Consider the following 23,408-nt stretch of genomic DNA (forward strand, 5'->3'; position numbering starts at 1 on the left):
GCTTGCAGTGAGTCAAGATTGCCCCCCTGCACTCCAGCCTGGGCAACAGAGCAAGACGCCATCTCAAAAAACAAACAAACAAACCGGGTCTCACTCTGTTGTCCAGGTTGTAGTGTAGTGACACAATCCTTAGCTTACTGCAGCCTCAAATTCCTGGGCTCAAGTGATCCTCCTGCCTCAGCCTCCTAAGGAGCTGGGACTAAGGTGTGTGCCACCACACCCTACTAAGTTTTGTTTGTTTGTTTTTTTGTTTTTGTAAAGATAGGATCTCTCTATGTTCTTTATGTTGCCGAGGCTGGTCTCAAACTCCTGACCTCAAATGATTCTCCTACCTCAGCCTCCCAAAGTGCTGGGATTACAGGTATGAACCACTGCACCCAGCCTCCAGTAGGGTTCTTGTGAGGATTAAGTTAAATGACGTATGCAAAGGGCCTAGCAGACATATGGTACAGGGTTAGTGTTCATTATGCTTGTTTCTTTTTTCAGATAAACTCATTGAAATGACAATTAATTGTATCTTGACTGTCACAGTAAAAAAATTTCAGAAGGACAAATGTATATGGAAGGGACTAGGGTAGTTCCACTCTTTTTCTTGAAGATGATGAGGACATGGCAACCTTGCAGCATGCAGATGTACATTTCAGCTTCAACTTCTCTTTGGCACCACTGGAAGCAATCATTCTCAATATTTATCCTCCCACCTATCACCCATCCAATCTGGACTCTGCCTAGTACCAACAATGGCAAAAGCCCCTACAACAAGGCGCTAAAATTATTTACTATGATTTGCTTTGCCTGAAAGATGCCCCTGTATTTGTTTATAAGCATCATAGACCAAATGCTGAAAGATGTAAATTCCTGGTGGGTTTGGGTGAAAAAGAAATGAGTCAGTGACTCTGAAAACATTTTCTAACTTCTTTACAAAGATGTATTTTGTTCTTTTTGTTTTGTTCTGTTTTTACATTTACTTAACTGGTTTTCCTGCTTTTCAAACAAAGCTATCTTGTACAGAATCTAGTGCCCCCATTACACTAATTGGCAATGTAAATATTTTAGCAAACTCTGTGGGATCACTTTACCCCAGCTTTGGGTGAATGTATAATTTAATGCTACCGAGACAACTCGCACCATCCCATCACTGGATGCTTCAGAATCCAGTGAATTCATTACATGGCAAAGACTTTTGCAAAATTTTGAAACCAGAAGTTAGTTTGCAATGGGGAGGACAAAGCTATGCTTTCTTTTCAGCCCCATGAACGCTCAAAAAGAATGCAGATTGGTAGTTTTATTGCTATTTGCTTAAATCAAAGGGAACAAAATTCTTCCACAAATGCACATGTTCAGAACTCTTGGCCGATTAATTAACTATTGTAACCATAGGGAAGGCTAATTATATTGCGAATCACAAGTTTACCCTGAGTCATGTTGCTCTAAAAATTCTATTTCATGGTCATTAAATGACCTTTATGTAATTCCTTGATATCCTTCCTTTGGTGTTGAAGGAAGTTTGATTTGGAGTGAGATATGCAATAATTATTTTCTGTGTTGATTTTTCCCTCCTTTTTTCCTCTTCTTCCTCCTCCTGCCCCCAATGTGCAGTATTACGGAAGTTGCTGTCAAAGAAGGAAGTTTTAGCAGTAATGAATTGCCAAGGGAAAATGCAATTATTTTCTCAAATAGATTTTTTTCATTTATTATATGATCCACCTTTAGTTGTTCCTATGATTCCTCATTAGAAGCGATGGATCAGGTTTGAAATCTGGAGCTGTTCAGGGGCACCAGCCTGCCTTTCAGGGTTGATGAGATCGATCATAGGAAATGTGATAGAGCTGGCTCAGCCCAAGTTCCTGAGTGACAACACTGCGTCCTGCTCTGGTAGAACTTGAGTCTGTGGCACTCCCCAGTGACAGAACCAGACCCCTAGGTGTGTTAGTGTCAAAAAGGAGCCAGGCAGTTGCTGTGCGTAGCTATTTTGCTACATTTAATCATCTACGTCAGGAAGACAGGATTCATTTATATAATTCAGAATCTTCATTCAAGCAAAGAATATGGTTAGCAAAAAACTGTAGTTTCTCAAAGCCATACAAGCAATTTTATTTGTATTCCTGCAGAAAACTTAATACCAGGCAATTAAAGTAAAAAATACATATTTTTAAGTGGTATTGCTGGGGGAAATTTCTCCATCAGTCTTAATTTTGGCTGTCTCTGTTGGAAGAAGCACATAGTTTTAGTAGGAGGATTTTCATGAAAGGGAATAATAGCTCAAAGTAGTAGCTACTATTTATCGAGTCAACGAAGTGCCAAGCCCTTAAATATGATATCGTTTACCGTCCTTAACATTTCTGAACTTTGTTCTTCACATCTCTTTGAAGGGATTAATAATATCTACCTGGTTGAACAAATGAGAAACATCAAGGTTCTGAGAAATTAAAAGAATTATGCAAAATTCATGCACCTAGTGATTTTATGCTGGTGCAAAAGTAATTGGGGTTTTTGCCATTACTTTTAATACATTTAATAGAATCAATCGTAGTGATGACAAAGGCCACTGTCTTTCCATAGGCTATTAATTTTCTTGATTGAAATAGTTGGCATATTGGAAACACAAGGGAAAGAGTTTTGTAATAACAGCCCTGAAATGCTTCTGTGAGAAAATGATGGTAATTATAATAATGATGACACAACAGTAATAATTATAGCTAATATGTAATAATTATGTATTATATGCCATGTAATGTCCTCAGCCCTTATAATTTTAATTTTATTTAATCCTCAAAATAATTCTGTGATGTAGACAATAGTAGTACTCACCATTTTCTAGAGAACTAAATCAAGGTGCAGAAACCCTAAATGTTGTACTCATTGTAACACAGCTAGTAAGTAGTACAACTGAGAGGTAAACTGAAAATAAATTTAATTAAATGTGTATAGTAAATTTTTTTAAAGCTGCTATCTTAAAATAAGAGTTGAGTTTTGTGATGGTTAGTTTCATGTGTCAATTTGACTGGGCTAAACAGATAGCCAGGTAGCTGGTAAAACATTATTCCTGGGTGTGTTTGTGAGAATGTCTGCAGAAGAAATTAACATTCGAATCAGTAGACTGAATAAAGAGACTGCCCTCAGCAATGTAGGTGGGCACTAGCCAATCTATTGAAGGCCTACAGAGAACAAAGAGGAAAGGTGAATTATCTCTCTCATGTTGATCTGGGACATGCATGTTCTCCTGCCCTGGGACATTGGACATCATAGCTCCTGGTTCTTGGGTCTCAGAAGTCAGGACTTACACCACGGGTTCTCCTGGTTCTCAGGCCTTTGGGCTTAGACTGAAACTATACCACCAGTTTTCCACGGCAGATGGTGGGACTTTTCAGCCTCCAAAATTGCACAATCTAATTCCTTATAACAAATCCCTTTTTATATATCTACATATATTCTATTGGTTCTGTTTCTCTGGAGAATCCTGACTAATACACATTTCATAGGTGAAACAGAAACAAAACTAAATAAACTCTATTGAAATGTAATGACACAAAAGGAACTGCATAACTAAACTTATTGGCTTTTGTAGCATAGAGAGTAGTTTTGAAGTACTCTCATACATTCGCAGCACTTTTATAACCAAAATAGCTTCATTCGATTTACCCTCTTTCTCAGACTGATTCCCTGCCATACTTACCTCCTAGGGGTTTTCCACACTGGTAACATCCTGAATGTTTGTTTGCCTGGTTTAGCCTGAATATGTTCAGGATCTCCTAGAGGTTATCTGTAATATCACACTGTCAATAGGAGACAATAACCCAGTGCATTTTGGCCTGAAAATTCCTCACACCCTAGCATCTGATCATTCGAAGTTAATGGATGCTTCATTTGTTCTGTAAATACAAAGGTCATGCATAAGGTTTACAAAATACCTGGTAACTAAATGGAAAACAAGAACTTTGCTCTGTATTTTCAGACCACTTCCCTCCAAAATTGTTTTTATCTCCATCATTTTTTCAACTCTACCATATTGTGAGTATATCTACCTAGGAACACCCAAATCACTACTTAATTGAATTCACAATTCAACTCCTGAATGGTGACATTCTGCATGATGCTGATAAATGAAGAATATCCTCAAGGGGAACAATGTTAACTGTGTTATACAAGCTCAGAATCCCCACCAGGGAGCTTCCAGCTCTTAATTCCTTCCTTCTATTCCTCTTCTACTTATTACAAGCACTTGCAACATTCTTGCAACAAGAATTCCTAAATTCTTGAGACAGTTCTGGTCAGAAGGTAAACTCTCACACCAGCCATACTTCCACTGGCTGGAGCAAAGAGGGAGTAAGGAAGGAATCTCTGGAGATCGGCGTGCTTCAGAGGATACACTCCTCCTCCACGACACGCTGCACCTCCATGGTTTCAAAGTAGCCTCTGTGCTCCACAGGTTCCGTCCCCCAGCCTCACCTCACATTCTAATTCCTCTAGGGCCCAACTGTCACTTTTGCCGTGGACCCTGCCCTCCCTGTCCTGCTGAAAATTGCAGCCTCCACCGCTTCACCCACTATTTATCCCCTTTCCCTGTTCTATTTATTTTCACATTTATCAACAACTAAAATACAGTACATTTGCCGGGTGTGGTGGCTCATGTCTGTAATCCCAGCACCTTGAGAGGCTGAGGCGGGCGGATCACTTGAGGTCAGGAGTTAGGGACCAGCCTGGCCAATATGGTGAAACCCTGTCTCTACTAAAAATACAAAAAAAAAAATTAGCCAGGTGTGGTGGTGTGCACCTGTAGTCCCAGCTACTCGGGAGGCTGAGGCAGGAGAATTGCTTGAACCCAGGAGGCAGAGGTTGTAGTGAGCCGAGATCTTGCCACTGCACTCCAGCCTGGGCGACAGAGCAAGACTCTGTCACAAAAAATAAATTAATTAAATAAAAATAAAATGCAGTATATTTTACTTATTTGCTGATTTATTTTGTCTCCACAACTAGAACACAATTTGCTTAAAGGCAGAGATTGTTGACAATTTTTTGGGTTATCATATTCCCTACACTTAGAACACCTGGCGTACAAGAAGCTCTTGAGCCATATTTTCGAATGAACAAAATAAGAAATGACTTATTTTCTTAATTCTTTTTCTAGGTACTGATCCTTTACAAGCAGGATTCTACACCATTGGTATAAGGGTATCTGTCTTTGTTCCCTGCAGAAACTGAGTTGTGGTCCATGAGTATAAGCTTAACAATAGACACTGTAGCAAATTGAATCTATTTGTAGGACCATCACAGTTACCTTCCCAACTTGAGTTTCCAGTAGCCCAAGCCCTACTACCCTAATATTAATCAGAACATGAGTGGAATATCTGGGCAAGAACACGTGCACAAAGAAAAGCCAGGGCTCTCTTTGAGACCTTGGCTGTGCCACTACCTTGACATATGACCTTAGGCAGATGAATTAACCCCAAATGTCCTACTCCATAAAACAGGGAGTTGGAGTAAATGATGTTCAAATAACCTTTCATTCTCATCATGCCTTCTAGCCTCCAACCCAATATACTCCACAAAGGAAAATACAGGAGTATAAAGATAGACTGCTAGTATTGCTGCAATACAAAGAGGGCTGAAAAACAAAAATAAGAAAAACTCACAGTAAAGATCAGATTTTTAAAAAGCCATGTTAGCTGTAAATATTTTGAAGAAAAGATGTCAAATACCTACCTTTACTTCTTTTTATCTTTATTTTTAAAATTTTTTATTGTAGAGATGAGGTCTCGCTATATTGCCCAGGCTGGTCTCAAACTCCTGGCCTCAAGGGATCTTCCTGCTCTGGCCTCCCAAAGGTGGTCCTGCAGGCTGGCTAGCCTGAGCCACTGCACATATCCACCTTACTTTTTTTTTTTTTTCTGAGACGAAGTCTCGCTCTGTCACCCAGGCTGGAGTGCAATGGCACAATCTTGGCTCACTGCAACCTCTGCCTCCTGGGTTCAAGCGATTCTCCTGCCCCAGCCTCCCGAGTAGCTGGGATTACAGGTGTGTGCCACCACACCTGGCTAATTTTTGTATTTTTAGTAGAGATGGGGTTTCACCATGTTGGTCAGGCTGATCTCGAACTCCTGACCTCGTGATCCACCCGCCTCAGCTTCCCAAAGTGCTGGGATTACAGGCGTGAGCCACCGCACCCGGCCCACATCCACTTTACTTTTTAAAGAGGTTTTTTTTTTTTTTTTTTTTTTTAGATAAGAGTCTCACTCTGTCACCAAGACTGGAGTGTAGTGGCATGATCTTGGCTCACTGCAACTAGCAGGCTCAAGTTATCCTGCCACCTCAGCCTCTGAGTAGCTGGGACTACAGGCATGCACCACCATGCCTGGCTAATTTTTTGTATTTTTTGCTGGAGATGGGGTTTCGCCATGTTGCCCAGGCTGGTCTCAAACTTCTGAGCTCAAACAATCCGCTTGTCTCAGCCTCCCAAAGTGCTGGGATTACTGGCGTGAGACACTGCTCCCAGCCTTAAAGAGGTTTTACACCCTACTGTGTTTTCTCAATGCTTGTCCCTTCTCTCTATCCCCAAAATGTGTGGATTATAAACTTGTCTTATTTATGGTCTTCATTAAGTTTTCTTGGAAAACACACCTTTTAGAATGAAACTACTTTTAATCTGCAGCTTTATTTCCAGTTAAGAATCCAAACCAAATATTTACATTCTAATAACAATTATTTGAAATGTTATTGTGTCAATCATGAGATTCAATGGAAGTATCTGATAATAAATGAATTTAGGTCAAGGTAAGAAATAAATAGCAAAAACACAAATTCACTCTACAGCAAATGAGACCTATTCTTCCATTCTATTCATTGTAGCACTGCCCGAAATGTACAGATCAGTAGGAAAATAAAGCCTATGCAGTAGGTGCTATATGAAACAGTTTGCATACACTTGACAAAAGTGCACATTTCAGTTAAATTATATAGTGAAATTATACAATTCCTCCCTCCCACACAGTAACATAACAGCAAAACAATGACAAAAGTTCAAAATTAATAGAGAAACATCAAGTAGAGGCCACCAATAAGATCTTAAAATGTGGAATATTTTACTAACAACTATGTAAGTCAAATCTTGGACTCCTGCCTGAATAGATGTAAGATGATCATTTTGATGTATTTGAATGAGTAGTATGTATATGTAAATGTTTTGAGGTCCTGATAGCCGCAAAACTGACAATAAAGGCACAACCAGCTAAAAGTGCCCAAAATAATAATCAAGAAAACACCTGAGCCACGTGTTCTAAAAAGTTAATAATGCAAATGATCAGATGATTTAGATAAGGTTAGTAGTGAAAGAATGTGTAGGTTTTAACTGAATATCACTTATATTGGTAATCTTCCATCTTGGAGTATCAGCACATATAGAAGGCAATTTTCCAAACATTTTATAGTTATATGTGGCAAAGACGGGTTTCAAATTCAATGCCTAGAACAGTTGCAGCACCTAGAAGTACCCAGTAAATATTAATTGAGTAATGAATAAGAAATGGAGGGATGGATTCCTTAAAAGTGGTCTACTATATCCATCATACTAACTCCGGCAAATGCATTTTCCTAGGAAAAGAACAGTCAAGCATATCACAACTAAGATTATAATGGTTCAGTAAGTATAAAAGGGAGTGGGAATTCAATGTGGATACAGAAAAGAGAGAAAGTCCTAAGAAAGTCCTTAGGACACAGGAAGGCCGAAGCCCATTCTTGGCCCATCACTGGGAAGCTAGTTCAGTGGGGTTTAGATCATTTGAAGCATCATGTTTTCATCCTTGATAGCTCTGTGAGAATCAAACTCTAATTTGAGCATTTACAGAGGTGGTAACTTTTGGAATTTAGTGTGATAAAGAGGTGATTACTAAGATGGTGGCCTTTGAGAAATCATTGATTCCTCCCTTCAGTTTCCTTATTAGTAAATAGAGACACCTACCTTACAGGTATTTCCATTAAAGAGGGACATTATGCATATAAAATGAAATAATGCACTAAAAGAAAGTTTGCACTTTTAAAAGAGAGAACTTTTAGACCTAAAGGCGATTTACTCTGTTTTCTTGCCTGAGAGGGTCACCACCCAGGCATAATCATAAATGCATGGAGTCTTCCTACAAGGGGCTTGAGTAATATATTTGATTTGACTTATTATAAAGTGGAGAGGGCAAGGCAGTAGAAAAATTAGGAAACATCTGGAATACTCTAGGATGGCGAAGGCCTAAATAAGGCAATATCAGCAGAATAGAGAGATAAGGCTAAATTTGAGAACTAATTTGATTGGGCTGCAGTTCATGTACAAATATCACAAGGTAGGGTTTATGAAGCTCAGAAAGCAGGAATGAGCAATCTTTCTTCCCTTAATTGATCTCCCAGATCACTGGGTCACTTGTGCTGGGCTAACTGATGAGACGCCATTAGTCTACAAGGTGGAAGTTTGCTCCTGGCAAGTGCACTCATTTTTTTTTCTCTCTCTCTCTCTTTTTTTTTTTTTTTTTTGAGATGGAGTCTCGCTTTGTCATCCAGTGCAGAAGCGCGATCTTCGCTCACTGAGATTGCTCCACCTCCCCAGCCTCCTGAGTAGCTGGGATTACAGGCATGAGCCACCTTGCTCGGCCCAGTTCTGCTTTCTCTGAGTCTTTTTGCCAAGAAGTAGATGAGTCGGTTAAAACTGGAATGAGGCTGGACTGTGGCACGCACCCGTAGTCCCAGATACTCAGAAGGTTGAGATGAGAGGATCTCTTGCACCCAGGAGTTTGAGACCAGCCTGAGCAACATAAGGAAAAACAAAAACTTAAAAAAAAAAAAAAAGTTGATATTGCCAGGTGTAAGATGAACAGGACACCATGCTTCTTCCAAGGGCAGGCTGTGCTGTGAAATGTCAACAACAGTCCCCTTTTTTGAGTGACTACTTCTTTCTAACTCATTGGAAAATCTTGCTTCCTATGCTCATAGACTATCAGAAAATTTGATTTTTGAAATTATGTCAGTAAAAATGAAACCTCCCATAATTGCTTGTAGGATCTAACTCACTTTGACAACAGAGACATGGCCCCGATTTACAACTCAAGTACAGAGCTTCAGATAAGGAGTTTCCCAAGACAGCATTCCACATTTATCCAAGGAAACAGAACCCTTGGTCACAGCCCAAACCTCATGTTGACTCCCAGCTCTGCTTTGCTTTGAGCCTATCAAAACTCCACTTCATGGTTCCTCTAGTTTGCAGTATCTCTACTGTAACATTGAGTCAATGAACCTGACTTTGTGGGACTGCAGGTTTTGTCCTTGATGGTCTTAGGCTGGTTGGATTGGACACACTATTCTATTCCGTGTTAATGCCATTCTTTTCATTATTATAGCTTAATTACATGTTTCTTTTTTCATTGCCTTATCAAAAGGTTCTCAGGGCTGGAGGCAGTGGCTCACACCAGTAATCCCAGCACTTTGGGAGGCTGAGGTGGGTGGATCACAAGGTCAGGAGATCGAGACCATCCTGCCCAACATGGTGAAACCCTGTCTCTACTAAAAATACAAAAATTAGCTGGGCATGGTGGCGGTGCCTGTAGTCTCAGCTACTCGGGAGGCTGAGACAGGAGAATCACTTGAACCTGGGAGGCGGAGGTTGCAGTGAGCCGAGATCGTGTTACTGCACTCCAGACTGGCAACAGAGTGAGACTGACTCCGTCTCAAAGAAAAAAAAAAAAAAAAGTTCTCAATTTTTTTTGTCTTAGAACCTTCCTTTATTTACACTCTTAAAAAGTTTTGAGGACTCCAAAGAACTTTTATGTTATAGCAATTAAAACTGAGAAATTTTAAAAATATATTTCACTACTAAGCTCATTACATGTTAACATGAATAGCATATTTTTAAGTGAAAAATACCTGTATTTTCCAAAACCAAAAAAGTTTAATGGTAAGAATGGCATTATTTTATATTCTTGCACATTTCTTTAATGTCTGGCATAACAGAAGACGTTACCTGTTTCTGCATTCAATCTGTTGTGATATCACATATTATGGAGCCACTGGAAAACTTCATCATAAATTCATTTAAAAAATGGGAGAGAAAAAGGAGTGGAAAAAAGTCTTATTATTAAAGTAATTTTGGTCCTGTGAACCTCCCGAAATGGTTTCAGAGACCGCCCCCTGACCCCCAACAAATTTCCCCTAGACCACACTCTGAGAACCACTGGACTTAGCTCTTCTAGCTTCTGTAGTTTTCATATGAATTCTAGAATATATTTGTCTCTTAATTTGGGAGGTAGTAATTATGTGTTTAACATCTTGTCTTCTAACTTAGGATTCCAGTGTCTTTCCAATTATAAATAGTCTGTCAACAATCCTGCATTTTTAAATTTTTTCCCACTTTTCTCCTATATTTCTCATTTTTTATCATTCTTAGTTATTTCATGTTCTTTCATGCTTCTATTGTGAATGGGATCTATTTTTCTATTGTATTTTAATTGGGTGTTGTTTGTCTCTATTGAGATTGTGACTTTATTTTGCATGTGAGCACTCAGTTGCTCTAATTCTTAAAATCTCCCAGGTATGTCCAAATGGCCATAATTATGTTGAATAATATATTTGCTGTGATCTGTTTTTGATGAGATAACTTCTTGATTTGAAGCTGTTCATATATGTTAGGCTTTTGATTCAATATAATCCCTATTACAAGTCCACTATTCAATTTCTAATTTTTTTTTTTTTTTTTTTCGAGACGGAGTCTCGCTCTATCGCCCAGGCTGGAGTGCAGTGACGTGATCTCGGCTCCGTCACTGCAAACTCTGCCTTCTGGGTTCACGCCATTCACCTGCCTCAGCCTCCCAAGTAGCTGGGACTACAGGGGCCTGCCACCATGCCCGGCTAATTTTTTTGTATTTTTTAGTAGAGACGGGGTTTCACTGTGTTAGCCAGGATGGTCTCGATCTCCTGACCTTGTGATCCGGCCGCCTCGGCCTCCCAAAGTGCTGGGATTACAGGCGTGAGCCACCGCGCCCGGCCCAATTTCTAAATTTTAAAGCTACTTTAAGAGGAAGGGTCTTGAATATACTGAATGACCTTTTGAAACAGATTTTTAACATCACATTTTTTCCTTAAGATATGCATTGATTAGGATTAGATGACCTCTCTTTGGTCTCTTCTATAATTCTCATTTAGATAACATGAACGACAGACCCATTGAGATAATTAACAGAATCAAAGGATGTTTTGGTTGTAGTTCTCACCTGTTCAATGGATGAAGGTATAGCAATACCCAATATGTCCCTAGAGACTGTTCAAGAGAATCTGGCCATCAGGGTCCCCCCAGGTGAGCCCTGTGTGACAGGAGACCACAGAAGGTCTGGAAAGGATTGCAAAGGACCAAGTAGAGGGTTGGTGACTAACGGGCTGCCTCCCGAGGGTAGAAGTTCTTGCCTTTAACTTCAGCCCCAGCCCCAAACTCCTTAGCAGTCTGCAAAAGGGAACTGGACCCTGGGAGCGATCTCATTAGCCACTCACTATCCCTCTTGGACCTGAAACCCATTACATTTTCCGGGTCCGAGACCCTCGTAGTGTGGGGAATTTCCTGGGAGGAAGATACTACGCGGGGCCGGGAGCAGAATTTGCTCCAGGCACTGGGCCAGTCCATGAGGGCTCCAGGATCCAGGGGCCCCACTCCCTTCTCGCCGGGCTCCGGGCCAAGGAAGCGCGGCCGGAGTCCCGGGAAGCCCCTCGGCAGCCAGCCAAGGGCCCTGCGAGGATGTGGATGGCGCGGATGGCGCGGCCTCCACCTGCGGGCAGTGGAGAGAGCGGCGAGAGGAAGAATATTCCCCGCGAGCCGGGATAAGGGGCCCCTTCGGCTCGGTTGACCCAGGTCAGATCCTCCCGCCGACCTTCGGCCCGCCCTCTACAGGCGGCCCAGTTCTTCCCCTGCTCGGCTGCCCCTGCCCGCCCCTCGAGGGAGCGCCCGTAGCCAGCGCCCCCGTAAAGAAATAAGGAGGCGCCCGGCTTCCCGCCCAGGTACGTGTCGGGACAGCGCAGGGGACTGGCTTGGGGCGGCGGTGGGTAGCGGCGCCCGCGCGGCGCTGGAAACGGCCCCGCTTCCTTGGACCCCGGGGCTTGCAGGGCGGGCCCGGGGCTCTCTGAGCGCGAGGCTGCCGCGACCGCCCGCCCGCCCAGGTCAGATCCGGAGGACCTGTGTGTTTGTCGGGGCCTGGGGTGAGAGAGGGGACTCGAGGGGAGAAGTAGAGCGGGAAACCAAGAGGGGGAATGTGAGGCTTGAACGAGCTGGATGGGAGAGCTCGAGGGGAGGAGAGGGATGAACTTGAGGGGGAAACGGGGGCGGGGGTGAACTCGAGGGGGAGCCAGGAGGAGGGAACGGGAAGGGTGAACCTGAGGGGTGGACTTGAGGGAAGATCTTGTGGGTGAACCCGAGGAGGGAACGCGAGGGGATAGTGAGGGGGGATCTCGAGGAGGGAACGTGAGGAATGAACTTGAGGAGGGAACGGGAGGGGTGAACGTGAAGTGGAAACAGGAGGAGGGAACGGGAAGGGTGGCGTAAGGGGTGAAGGAAGATCTTTAGGGGTGAACTTGGGAAGGAAACGTAAGGGGAGGACCTCGAAGAGTAACGAGGGGCGAGAACTGAGGGGGCCCTGCAGGGAGACTGGAGGGAGGAGGCGCCGAGTCTGGCGGGTGTCGCCTCGGAGACCTGTGGCGCGCGCGGGCTTTGCGGCGCCGCCCACAGGTGGCGCTGGGTCGGCCCGTCCCTGAGGGAACTGCGTTCCGGGTGATTTCTCAGAACAAGCAGGTCGGTGGAGCTGGGCTCCCTGCAACCCCAAATGCATCCGTAAAGGAGTTTTAATTTTAAGGAGAAAGAGCAGACAAGAAAAGTATGATCATTATTGAGAAATAGAGAAACCTACCAGGAAAGGATGTCCTTTCAAGTCTGCTCACCAACAGCTCTGTTCTGTTCTCCAAGTAGTTGCTAACTCGCACCTTGCTACTATCCCCCTTCCAGAAAAAAAATTTTATTATTGTTAGAATGGAAATTGGCCATAAGCCTTGAAATGACTGTTGTAATGCCACTGAACCCTACACACTAAGCGTTTTTGAAAACTCAAAAGAATCTTCATTTCTGGTTGTTTCTAGTTTTCTTGGTGAATTAACTAATTGTACAGGTGCACTTAAACCTTCTTAAGCATTTTTATAATTCAGACGGATCTGGTAGCTTGAGAGTTGTTTAATGCCAGCATATGAAATGAGGGGCTTTAAGTTCCTTGTTCATTGTGTAAAAGTGCGAAAACTTAGTTACTGAGGAATAAACTATTTGTCTTGCCCTTCTACCTAGAAGTTTCTAAGTTCAACTTCTGATTATTTTCCCCAGATCCTGAATGTTTACTCCCATAAAGCCATGATCTTTTTGTTTTGGGTTACAGGCCCAGGGCCCCAGTGCAGCCTGGACACAGTATTCAAAGTTTTGGCGTCTGAGCATTGTTATGCGTTATTTTCAAGCTTTGCTAACGGTAGGTGATAAAATTGACAAGTGTTCTGGGTTTGCCAGAACCTAAGTGCCAAGTTTTGACAGATAAATTGGGTGCATGTTATTCGTGCCATATTGATTTTTATTACATTATAAAAGATAATTATTTTAAAATGGGAAAATTTACAGATGCATAAGCTTTCAAAGATAACATGGGCTTTATGAATATATTGATGAGATGTCTAGCATGTGAAAAATTACATTCATTTGTCTTAGTCCTTTAAAATTATTATTTGGGGACGAAAATGCAAACTAAAAGATTCAATTTTGTAATCTTTAATATCAACTTAATATATATGTGTATATATACATATATTAAAATTTGGTCATGTCACATAATTTGATAGCATCATCTTGTCCTTTTTCGACTGCATCTTTATAGCCTAATTTTTTTTTTGCATATATTCTTTGAAAAATAACTTTCTCTGTCAAATCCAAAATATTTGAAGGTCCATTATTTGCTACAAGTGGTTTTGATAAATAAATATTTGGAGGCTGAAATACCCTTTAGAATGTATAGTTCTTTTATATAAATCATATAAAGTTTGTAAAATGTTTATTATGTAAATAATTTTTGCAGTGTTATTTCCAGCTGCGTTTTCTTTTTCTTTTTATAAACAAGGATCCTTTCATTAGTTTTGTCCGGGAATTGATAATTTGAATGATTGTACCTAACAAACAAACTCCCTCCCCCTAGTAATAGGAAACAAATTCAGTTATTCATTAGAGGGTAAATAGAAGATTTCTGATAAGCTTTCAAATTGATACACAGACGATCCCTTACTACTTTGGCGACACATTGGGAGTTAGGAACCTCAAGTTGGGAAGCATTACTCTTTTGAACTAAAATCATCTATCATTGGACACGTAATTTCTACCATGAACTTAAACATTATGACCTTAAAAACTTTCTAATCTTCAGTTTTCTTTTATGAAAATATGGGTTACAGTAATGCTTTTCTAAAGGGCTTCTCCTGATAATTAAGTGACATACTGCATGTAAAACTTTAAGCACAGTAGGTACCTGGAATATGGTAAGCAGTTAAAAAAAATAGCCACTGTTAATATCCATTTTTCCTGATATCTGAGGGTGATTAGACAATGTCGATATGTTTATAGTTATAGATCATGTCTTGATAAAAAATGCAGAACCTCATATAGAAGTCGTATGCGATAGTTTCAAGCCTGAAATTGGCCTTTAGAAATGTTTCTTTGGGTCAGCTCAGTACTTTAAAATAATTGATTTACTTACCGGTATTTTCAAATTAGTAAATTTTGTGTAAGTTCCTGGAGTCCTGGCTTCTCCTGAAAAAAATGGAGGACCAGGCAAGACAGCTCTTGCAACTGCTCATGGCAGAAGCCAGGATGAGTTGCCCACTTTGGGTGGGGTATACATTCTCCACTTTGCCACATTGCTGCCATCCTCTGCCTTTATTTCATCAAGTCCTGCTTCACTCATATATTTTACCTCCCTCACTCCTGCAGACATTTGAGTTTGTGATTTCAGACTCTGGAAATATCCCTTACTAACTTGAACGGTTAATTATATGGCTCACACAATAGCTTAACTGTCATCCTTTGAAAAGGAGAATAATCCTGTATTGCAATTTACGAAACAGTTCCTCATAAAACTCAGGTGATGCTTATATCAACTCTGAGAATTTGTTCAGACATGCATTATTATCCCATTTTACAGCTGTGGACATTGACTTTTAGGTTTATACTAAAACTTAAAGTAATGATCTGGTGACTTAAAGTTTTTTGGAGGCTCACTAACACCACCTTTTAAAGATGGAGATTTTTTTTAAAGGAAATTATAGTCTTTCTTTTGGTTCTAGCATTTATTTTAAGAAGTACTTTTATCCTCATAAAGGGAGAAAATGAATGGTGGAGAACGGAATACAAATACAAAAGTATTTAAGTAGATTTTGTATTTCCTCTTTGCAAAACATTTTTAAGCAAATTGAAGGGAATAAAACATTGGTTATGGCTCATTCAAAACAGAGCATACATGTAACTGGACAAGGTCTGTTTTAAACTATACTGTTATTGGAAAGCTGGAAAGAATGTGTGTCCAGTTCATGTGGTCTGTAATTAAGCTAGACCAGATTTCTGTGACCAGTTAAGCTAGACCCATTCCTCTGTTTTAATGTTCTGTAAGAAAGGAGACACCCGAAACTTGTTTGGCGATTCAGACTAGTGTTTTACAGGGCAAATTTAATTTTTTGTAGGTTTCTTTGAACCAGGAGGGCTTTGTTTTATTATTTTCATAGTCATTCCAGGAGAATAATCTATAGAATAAATTAAAATCAGGCATATTGCATTTACGGGTGTAGTAACTGTGTATGGTCCTGCTGATATGTGACTGTGTATGAGAGACGTTCAAACCAGTCTGATAGAGGCTTGGGGAAAGCATCTAGGCAAAGACAACAGGTCCTGGGGCAGAAAAGGGTTTAACAATGTTGTAAGTCCCGTCGGAAGGCAATTGAGGCTGAAGTCACTGAGAGTGGTGAGAACACAGGAAAGTCAGAAATGGCCAGATCATTCAGGGTCTGGAGAACTTGGTAAAGAATGTGGATTTTGTGGGGTTTTTAGCAGGAAAATAAGATGATCTGATTTCTATGCTGAGATCATCCTGGCTACTCTGTGGAGAGAGACAAAATTCTATAGCTGACCAGCTGAAACTCCAGTGTGTTTCTTCCATCATAGGCAGCAACTTCTTTTGAATCTGATGTAATCCTTATGTGATGCAGTGTAAGCAGCTTGACAGAAGTGGGTCCATAAAGGGAAGGATCTGTGAATAGTATTCTACAGAATATACATGATGAATGTGTATAAAAGTGAGACTCATGATATTAAAATATTGCTTGGTTTTGAGTAAAGCCATCTGCTGTCTTCTTAGCATGTTCTATATCAATGAGGCAATTTATATTTTCATTAAAAAGTCCTGCTTTCTGCATGTATTTTGGAAAGTTAATGATTAAATTTATTGATATTTGCATTATATTAGAAAAGAAAACATGCCCGTGTTCACTTATGAAGCAGTTATTACTAAGGTGGGTTTCTAGCCTCTTTCACCAATAGATTTGGTCATTACATATGAAGTATTATGAGATACAGAACTTGGAGAGAATGATTTTTTTGTTTAACTTATGTACTCTCCTTAGAGGTTATATGAGTAAAGAATTAAGTGTTTGGAGTTAAAATATGAAGGCACATGAATGCAGTCATTTCAAGAAAAATAGCTTTTTTCTTTCTATTTTTCCTTCTGTAATATTTCTAGGAAATTGTCCATCTAATCTGGTTTTAGATTTATTAATATAAAATTATCTTTTTAGTCTCTGCTCTAATTTGTTAGTCTTTTCATCCTTAATGTTGCACATCTCTACCTTCTTTCTTGCTAGTTTTTTCTTGATCAATCTTGACAAGGATCTCCCTATTTAAAAAAAATTATCTTTAAAGAACTATTACATTTATGAATCCCCTAATCTTTTTTTCCTGTAATGTTTTTCTTTAATTTATACCCTTCTCTTTTTCTACTGTCATTGGTTTTATATAATTTTAGCTTTTCTTCCTTTCTAATGTAAAATTTGAGGCTATATATTTTCCTCTGTGCACTACTTTAGTTGCTGGTCATACATTTTGTTGAGTAAATTTTTCATTATTATTCAGTTCTAAGTCTATTTTAAAATGTTCATTATGTTTACTCTTTGACTTTTAAATTGTTTAGTGCCTTTTTAAGGTATGCAATTGTATAGTTGTTTTTTTTTAACAATGTAGCTTGCAGTAGTTAATTTCTTACTTAATTGCATTGCAATCATACGTGCTCAGAGAGTGTATCTATTCTTTTTTGTATGTAGGATTTCATATGTATTCTGGCATATCCATTAAATTCTCCTTGTTAATTATGTTGTTCAAATTTTATTTATCCTTACAAACATTTTTTTGTTTAGTTAATCAAAAAATTACTGAGAAGGTATGTTAAAATCTCCCATTAAAATTGTGAATTTATTTCTTTATTTCTTTCAGCCTTTATTTGACATGTTTTGGGGTTCTGTTTTGAGTTTTTGTATTTTCTTGATGAATTAAGTTTTTGATTACTATGTAGTGGCCATCATGCCTCTAATAAATATTTTTGCTTTAAAATATATTTTGCCTGATATTGAGCTAGCCACATCACTTTCTTTTATTGAGGATTACATGGTACCATTATTGTACTTCCATTCTTTTCTCTCTGTTTAGGTTTTAGGTGGATGTCTTTCAAACAGCCTGTAGTTACCAATTTCTGTCTTTTCACTGGTGAGTGTAGTCCAGTTATAATTATTGTGGTTACTGGTATATTATAATGATTTCCACTTGTTATTTCATGCTGTCTATTTCTACTGCTTTTTCTATGTTTCCTTTATTCTCCTTTCTTGAATTTTTTAATTGAATGACTTTTGTAAAGTCAGGTTTTTTTTTTCTGCTAATATTTTGGAGACTATACATGGTAATCTGAGATTCTGCTGTTACAAGTATTTGACATGTATATTTTTCTTTTAAAGTCTAAAGTTATTTCTAACTGCTTCCTGAACTATATGAGGAACGTAGAACATTTTAAATCCTATCACATTTCCACTTTTGATTATTACTGTTCAATCTTGTCCAACAGAGCCCATTATTGTATCCTACAATTATATAACATACAGTTTCTTTGCTGTTTTTGGTAATTTAGACCTTTCTTGCGGGATCATTGTCATTCTTGAAACATATCCTTTAGAAGTGCTCTTTCTCAGGGGTCAGTGGTGTTAAACTTTTTTTCTGAAAAATACCTTCATTTTGCCTTTCATCTTGAAAGATACTTTTATGGGTACTTTTGTTAATTTCAGATTAACAATTATTTTCTTTCAGTGTTTTGAATATATTATGCTACTGTCTTCTTTTGAAAAACCAGCAATCATTCCAATTATTTTCCTCTGTATGTAATAACTCTTTTCTATCTGGTTGACTTTAAGAACTTCTTACTGTCTTTGATGATGCTGTATAGTTTCATTGTGGTATATATAAGTGTGGATTTCTTTTTATTTATCTTATTTGAATTTTCCTGAATTGGAGTGTTCTACCTTTCAACTATTTTGGAAACTTCTCAGTCATTATTGATTGCCTTTTCTCCATTCTCTTATTTTCTTCTCAAATTCTGATTAGATTTGTATTAGGCTGAATCAGTCAAGAAAACAGTTAATGCCATATAGTTCAACAGAAGGAATTTAATATGGAGAATTAGTGACAAATGTTTGTCATATCTGAAAGCCAAATAGGGGATAGTGAGGCAATTTAAAAGTTAACAGTAGCAAAAGACTGTTGTCACTTCTCAGGCTGCAGGAGGTAGTCTTAGCAGAACCCAGAATCCGAGGCTATCTAGAACCCTGACAGTTTCTGTCCTACAGGGACAGGGACCATAGAGAGCCACAGCAACTGATGGAGACATCACCATAGAAAGCAAAGAAAGCAGAGGAAAAATATTTTGATTTCTCCTTTCTCTCTACTTGGGACTCACTGGCAGAATTTCTCAGGGCAGGAAGCCAGCTGGACAAGGAGTGTAGGAAATACGGTTTTGAGATGTCGGTCCCCGAGATTCAGGAGATGGATGATCATGCATGGATCTGAGAGCATCCTGGTCATCCCATTCTCCTCTCCCTATCTTTTAACTTGTTTTTCACATTTTTCTATTATTTTGACCCCCTGTATTACATTCTGGGTAATTATATTGCTGTGGTAAAACATAAATTACATAAAATTTACCCTTTAAACTATTTTTAAATGTGCAGTTGAGTGGTATTAAGTACAGTCACATTGTTGCCCAACCTTTAACACCATCCATCTCCAGAAATTTTTTATTTTCCCAAACTGAAACTCTGGATTCAACAAAATTCCTGTTCTCTCTTACCCCAGCTGCTAGCAACCACAATTCTACTTTTTGTCTTTGAATTTGACTATTTTAAACATCTCATATGAGTGGAATCATATAATGTTTCCCTTTGCGACTGGCTTATTTTTCTCAACATAACGTCTTCTCGGCTCATCCCTCTCATACATGTTGTAGTATGTGTCAAGTTTCCTTTCTTTTTAAGGCTGAATAATATTTCTTTTCTTTTCTTTTCTTTCTTACTTTCTTTTTTCTTTTTTTTTTTTTTAGATGGAGTCTCTCTCTGTCGCACAGGCTGTAATGCAGTGGCATGAGTTCAGATCACTGCAATCTCTGCCTCCTGGGTTCAAGTGATGCCTCTGCCTCAGCCTCCCAAGTACCTGGGACTACAGGCATATGCCATCACACCTGGCTGATTTTTATATTTTTGTTAGAGATGGGGTTTCACCATGTTGGCCAGGCCGGTCTTGAACTCCCGACCTCAAGTGATCTGCCTGCCTCAGCCTCCAAAAGTGCTGGGATTACAGGCATGAACCACCGCGTCCAGCCAATTAATAATCTGTAGGTGTATACAGCATTTTGTTATCCATCTGTCAGTGGACATGTAGGTTGTTTCTGTCTTTGGCTATTGTGAATAATACTGCCATTAATGTGGGTGTACAAATATCTCTTTGAGCCTTTGATTGAATTCTTTGGCTTATATTCAAGAGATGAAATTTTTATCCTATGGTAAGTCTATATTTACTTTTGTGAAGAACTGCTGTACTATTTTCCTCAGCAGCTGCAATATATTCCTGCTAGCAATGCGCAAGAGTTCCAATTTCTCTACAACATTAACAACACTGAAATCGCTTTCTGGGTTTCTTCTTTCTAAATAATAACTTCTAATGAGCATGAAGTGGTATTGCATTGTGACTTTTTGATTTGCATTTTCCTAATTATTAGGATGTTGTACATCATTTCATATGCTCATTGACCATTTGTATATATTATTTGGAGAAACTTCTAGTCAAATCCTTTGCTCATTTTTTAATTGGGTTTTTTTTTTTTTAGTTGTAGAGTTATTTATATATTCTGTATGTTAACCCTTTATCAGATATATGATTTGCAAGTGTTTTTTCTCATTGTGAAGATTGTCTTTTCACTCTGTTGTTAATGTTTTGTACATTCCTTGATATCCAAAAGTTTTGGTTCTTACCAAGTCCAATTTATGTATTTTTTCTCTTCTGCTTGTGCTTTTGGTGTCATATCCGAGAAATCATTGCCAAATCCATTTTCATGAAGCTTTTCCCTTATGTTTTCTTCTAAGTGTTTTATTATTTTAGCTCATATGTTTAAGTCTTTGATCTATTTTGAGTTAATTTTTATATATGATCTAACAGTAATGTTCTTTTGCATGTGGATATCCAGTTTTTCCACCACCACTTGTTAACAAGACTGTTTTTTCCCTATTGTTGGAAATCATTTGACTATATTTCTGGGCTATTTCACTCTATTTGTCTATGTGTACCAGTACCACAATGATTTGATTACTGTAGCATTGTAGTAAGTTTTGAAATCAGGAAGTATAAAACCTCCAACTTTGTTCTTCTTTACAAGATTACTGGAGATCCTTTGAGATTCCATATGAGTTTTAGGATGTATTTATTTCTATTTCTGCAAAAAACATTGGGATTTTGCTAACAATTGCATTGAATTTATAGATCACTTTGGGAAATATTGACATTTAACCAATATTAAATCTTCTAATCCATGAACACAGATATCTTTCCATTTATTTGTGTGTTCTTTAATTTCTTTCAGCAATGTTTGTACTTTTCAATACACAAGTCTTTCATCTCCTTGGTTAAGTTTATTTCTAAGTATTTTATTCTTTTTGATTCTATTGTAGATTAAATTGTTTTCCTAATTTCTTCTTCTGGTTGTTCATTGTTAGTGTACAGAAAAACAACAGATTTTTGCATGTTGATTTTGTATCCTGCAGCTTTGCTGAATTCATTAATTAGTTCTAACATTTGTGTGTGTGTGTGTGTGTGTGTGTGTGTGTGTGTGATTCTTTAGGATTTGGTACATATAAGATCAAATAGTCTGTGAACAGAGATAATTTCAATTCTTTCTTTCCAGTCTGAATGCTTTTATTTATGTTTCTTGCCTGATTGCTCTGACTGGGATTTCCAGTACTATGTTGAATAGAAATGGTAAAAGTGGACATTTTTGTCTTGTTCCTGATCTTAGGAAAGAAGCTTTTAGTCTTGCACCATTGAATATAATGTTAGCTACAGGCTTTTTATAAATGGTTATTATGTCAAGGTCGTTTTTTTCTATTCTTAGTTTGTTGAGTGTTTTTATTTTGAAAGGGTGTTGAATTTTGTCAAATGCTTTTGCTGCATCAACTTAAATGATCATGTGTTTTTTCCCCTTTCTTCTGTTAATATGGCATATTACATTGATTGATTTTCATATGTTGAATCATTTTTGTATTCCAGAAATAAATCACCATTGGTCATGGTGTATGATCCTTTTAATATGCTGTTGAAGTTAGTTTGCCTGTATTTTGTTGAGGATTTTTGCATGAATCTTCACAGAGATATTCATCTCCAGTTTTATTCTCTTGTAGTGCCATTGTCTGGTTTTGGTGTCAGGATAATGCTGGCCTCATAGTATGAGTTAGGAAGTGTGCCCTCTTTTTAATATTTTTGGAAGAGTTTGAGAAGGATTGTCGTTAATTATTCTTTAAATGTTTGGTAGAATTCACCAGTGAAGTGATCTGGTCCTGAGATTTTGTTGTTATTGTGGTAGAGAAGTTTTTGATTACTAATTCAATCTCTTTTGTAAGTGATACCTCTTCAGATTTTCTACTTCATCATGATTCAGTCTTGGTGAATTGTGTGTTTCTAGGAATTTGTCCACTTCATCTAGTTTATCCAATTTGTTGGCATACAAATGTTAACAGTACTCTCTTATAATCATTTTTAATTCTCTGTAATTGGTAATAATTTTCCCTCTTTGATTTCTTGCTTTAGTTATTTATGTCCTCTCTCCTAGTAAATCTGCTTAAAGGTTTTAAAGGTTTCGAAGAATCAACTCATGGTTTTGTTGATTTTCTCTACATTTTTATTCTCTATTTTATTTATCTCTGCTGCATCTTCATTATTTCCTACTTTTTTTGTCACCTTTAGGTTCAGTTTGCTCCTCTTATTCTTGTTCCTTAAAGTGTAAAGTTACGTCATTGATTTCATATTTTTCTTCCTTTTTAAATTTAAGCTTTTAGAGCAACAAATTTATCTCTTAGCAGTACTTTTGCTGGATTCTGTAAGTTTTGCTATGTTGTATTTTTATTTTCATTTGATTCAAGATATTTTCAGTTTTCTCTTGTAATTTCTTCTATTGGTTGTTTAATAGTGTACTGCTTAATTTCTACATATTTGTGGATTTTCCAGTCTTCTAGTTTCATTACATTTTGATCATAAAGGATATTTAGCATAGCATGTTTTCAGTCCCTTTAAATTCATTAAGGCTTGTAATGCAGTCAAACACATAGTCTATCCTGAAGAATATTCCTGTGCACTTGAGAAAAATGTGTATTCTGTCACTGTTGGGTGCAGCATTCTGTATATGTCTGTTAGATCCAATTGGTCTATAGTGTTGATCGTGTCCTTTATTTCTGATTTTCTGTCTCATTGTTCTATCCATTACTGTGGATATTGAAATCTACTATTATTGTAGAGCTGTCTGTTTTCCCCTTTAGTTCTGTCAGTGTTTGTTCATATATTTTGGAGCTCTAAATTTTGGTACATATATGTGTATAATTGTTATGTCTACTTGGCAAATTGACCATTTTATCATTTTCCCATTTTCTTCTTTGTCTCTTGTAAAAGTTTATGACTTGAAGTCTTTTGTAGATAGTATATAGTTGCATCAGATGTGTTCCTTTATAAAATTCATTCTGCCAATCTGTTTTTTGATTGGAGA

At 38.3% G+C, this 23,408-nt stretch overlaps 1 protein-coding gene and 1 long non-coding RNA gene across 22 annotated transcripts in view; one reads left to right on the forward strand and one right to left on the reverse strand.

The window, feature by feature from the left end:
* Positions 1 to 2,061: 2,061 nt before the first annotated feature.
* On the reverse strand, positions 2,062 to 11,394 carry LOC101929073 (uncharacterized). Its single transcript, NR_120650.1, has 4 exons — positions 11,238 to 11,394; positions 9,992 to 10,045; positions 3,677 to 3,872; positions 2,062 to 2,205 (listed from the first exon to the last, which is right to left on the reverse strand). It is a non-coding gene; the product is annotated as an uncharacterized LOC101929073 (long non-coding RNA).
* Positions 11,913 to 23,408, forward strand: part of MYO3A (myosin IIIA) — a 278,304-nt gene continuing 266,808 nt past the window's right edge. For 13 of the 21 annotated variants that reach the window (XR_930494.1, NM_017433.5, XM_011519503.2 and 10 more), the window contains exons 1-2: positions 11,913 to 12,012; positions 13,428 to 13,514. The gene's annotated coding sequence lies outside the window, so the exon portion shown is untranslated. Of the gene's footprint in view, positions 12,211 to 12,394; positions 12,800 to 13,427; positions 13,515 to 17,773; positions 17,831 to 23,408 lie in introns of those variants that run through there. The other 8 variants (XM_047425355.1, XM_047425360.1, XM_047425357.1 and 5 more) reach the window with 5 other exon arrangements.

The sequence above is a fragment of the Homo sapiens genome, chromosome 10 (genome assembly GCF_000001405.40).
Source record: "Homo sapiens chromosome 10, GRCh38.p14 Primary Assembly".
Lineage (NCBI taxonomy): Eukaryota > Metazoa > Chordata > Mammalia > Primates > Hominidae > Homo > Homo sapiens.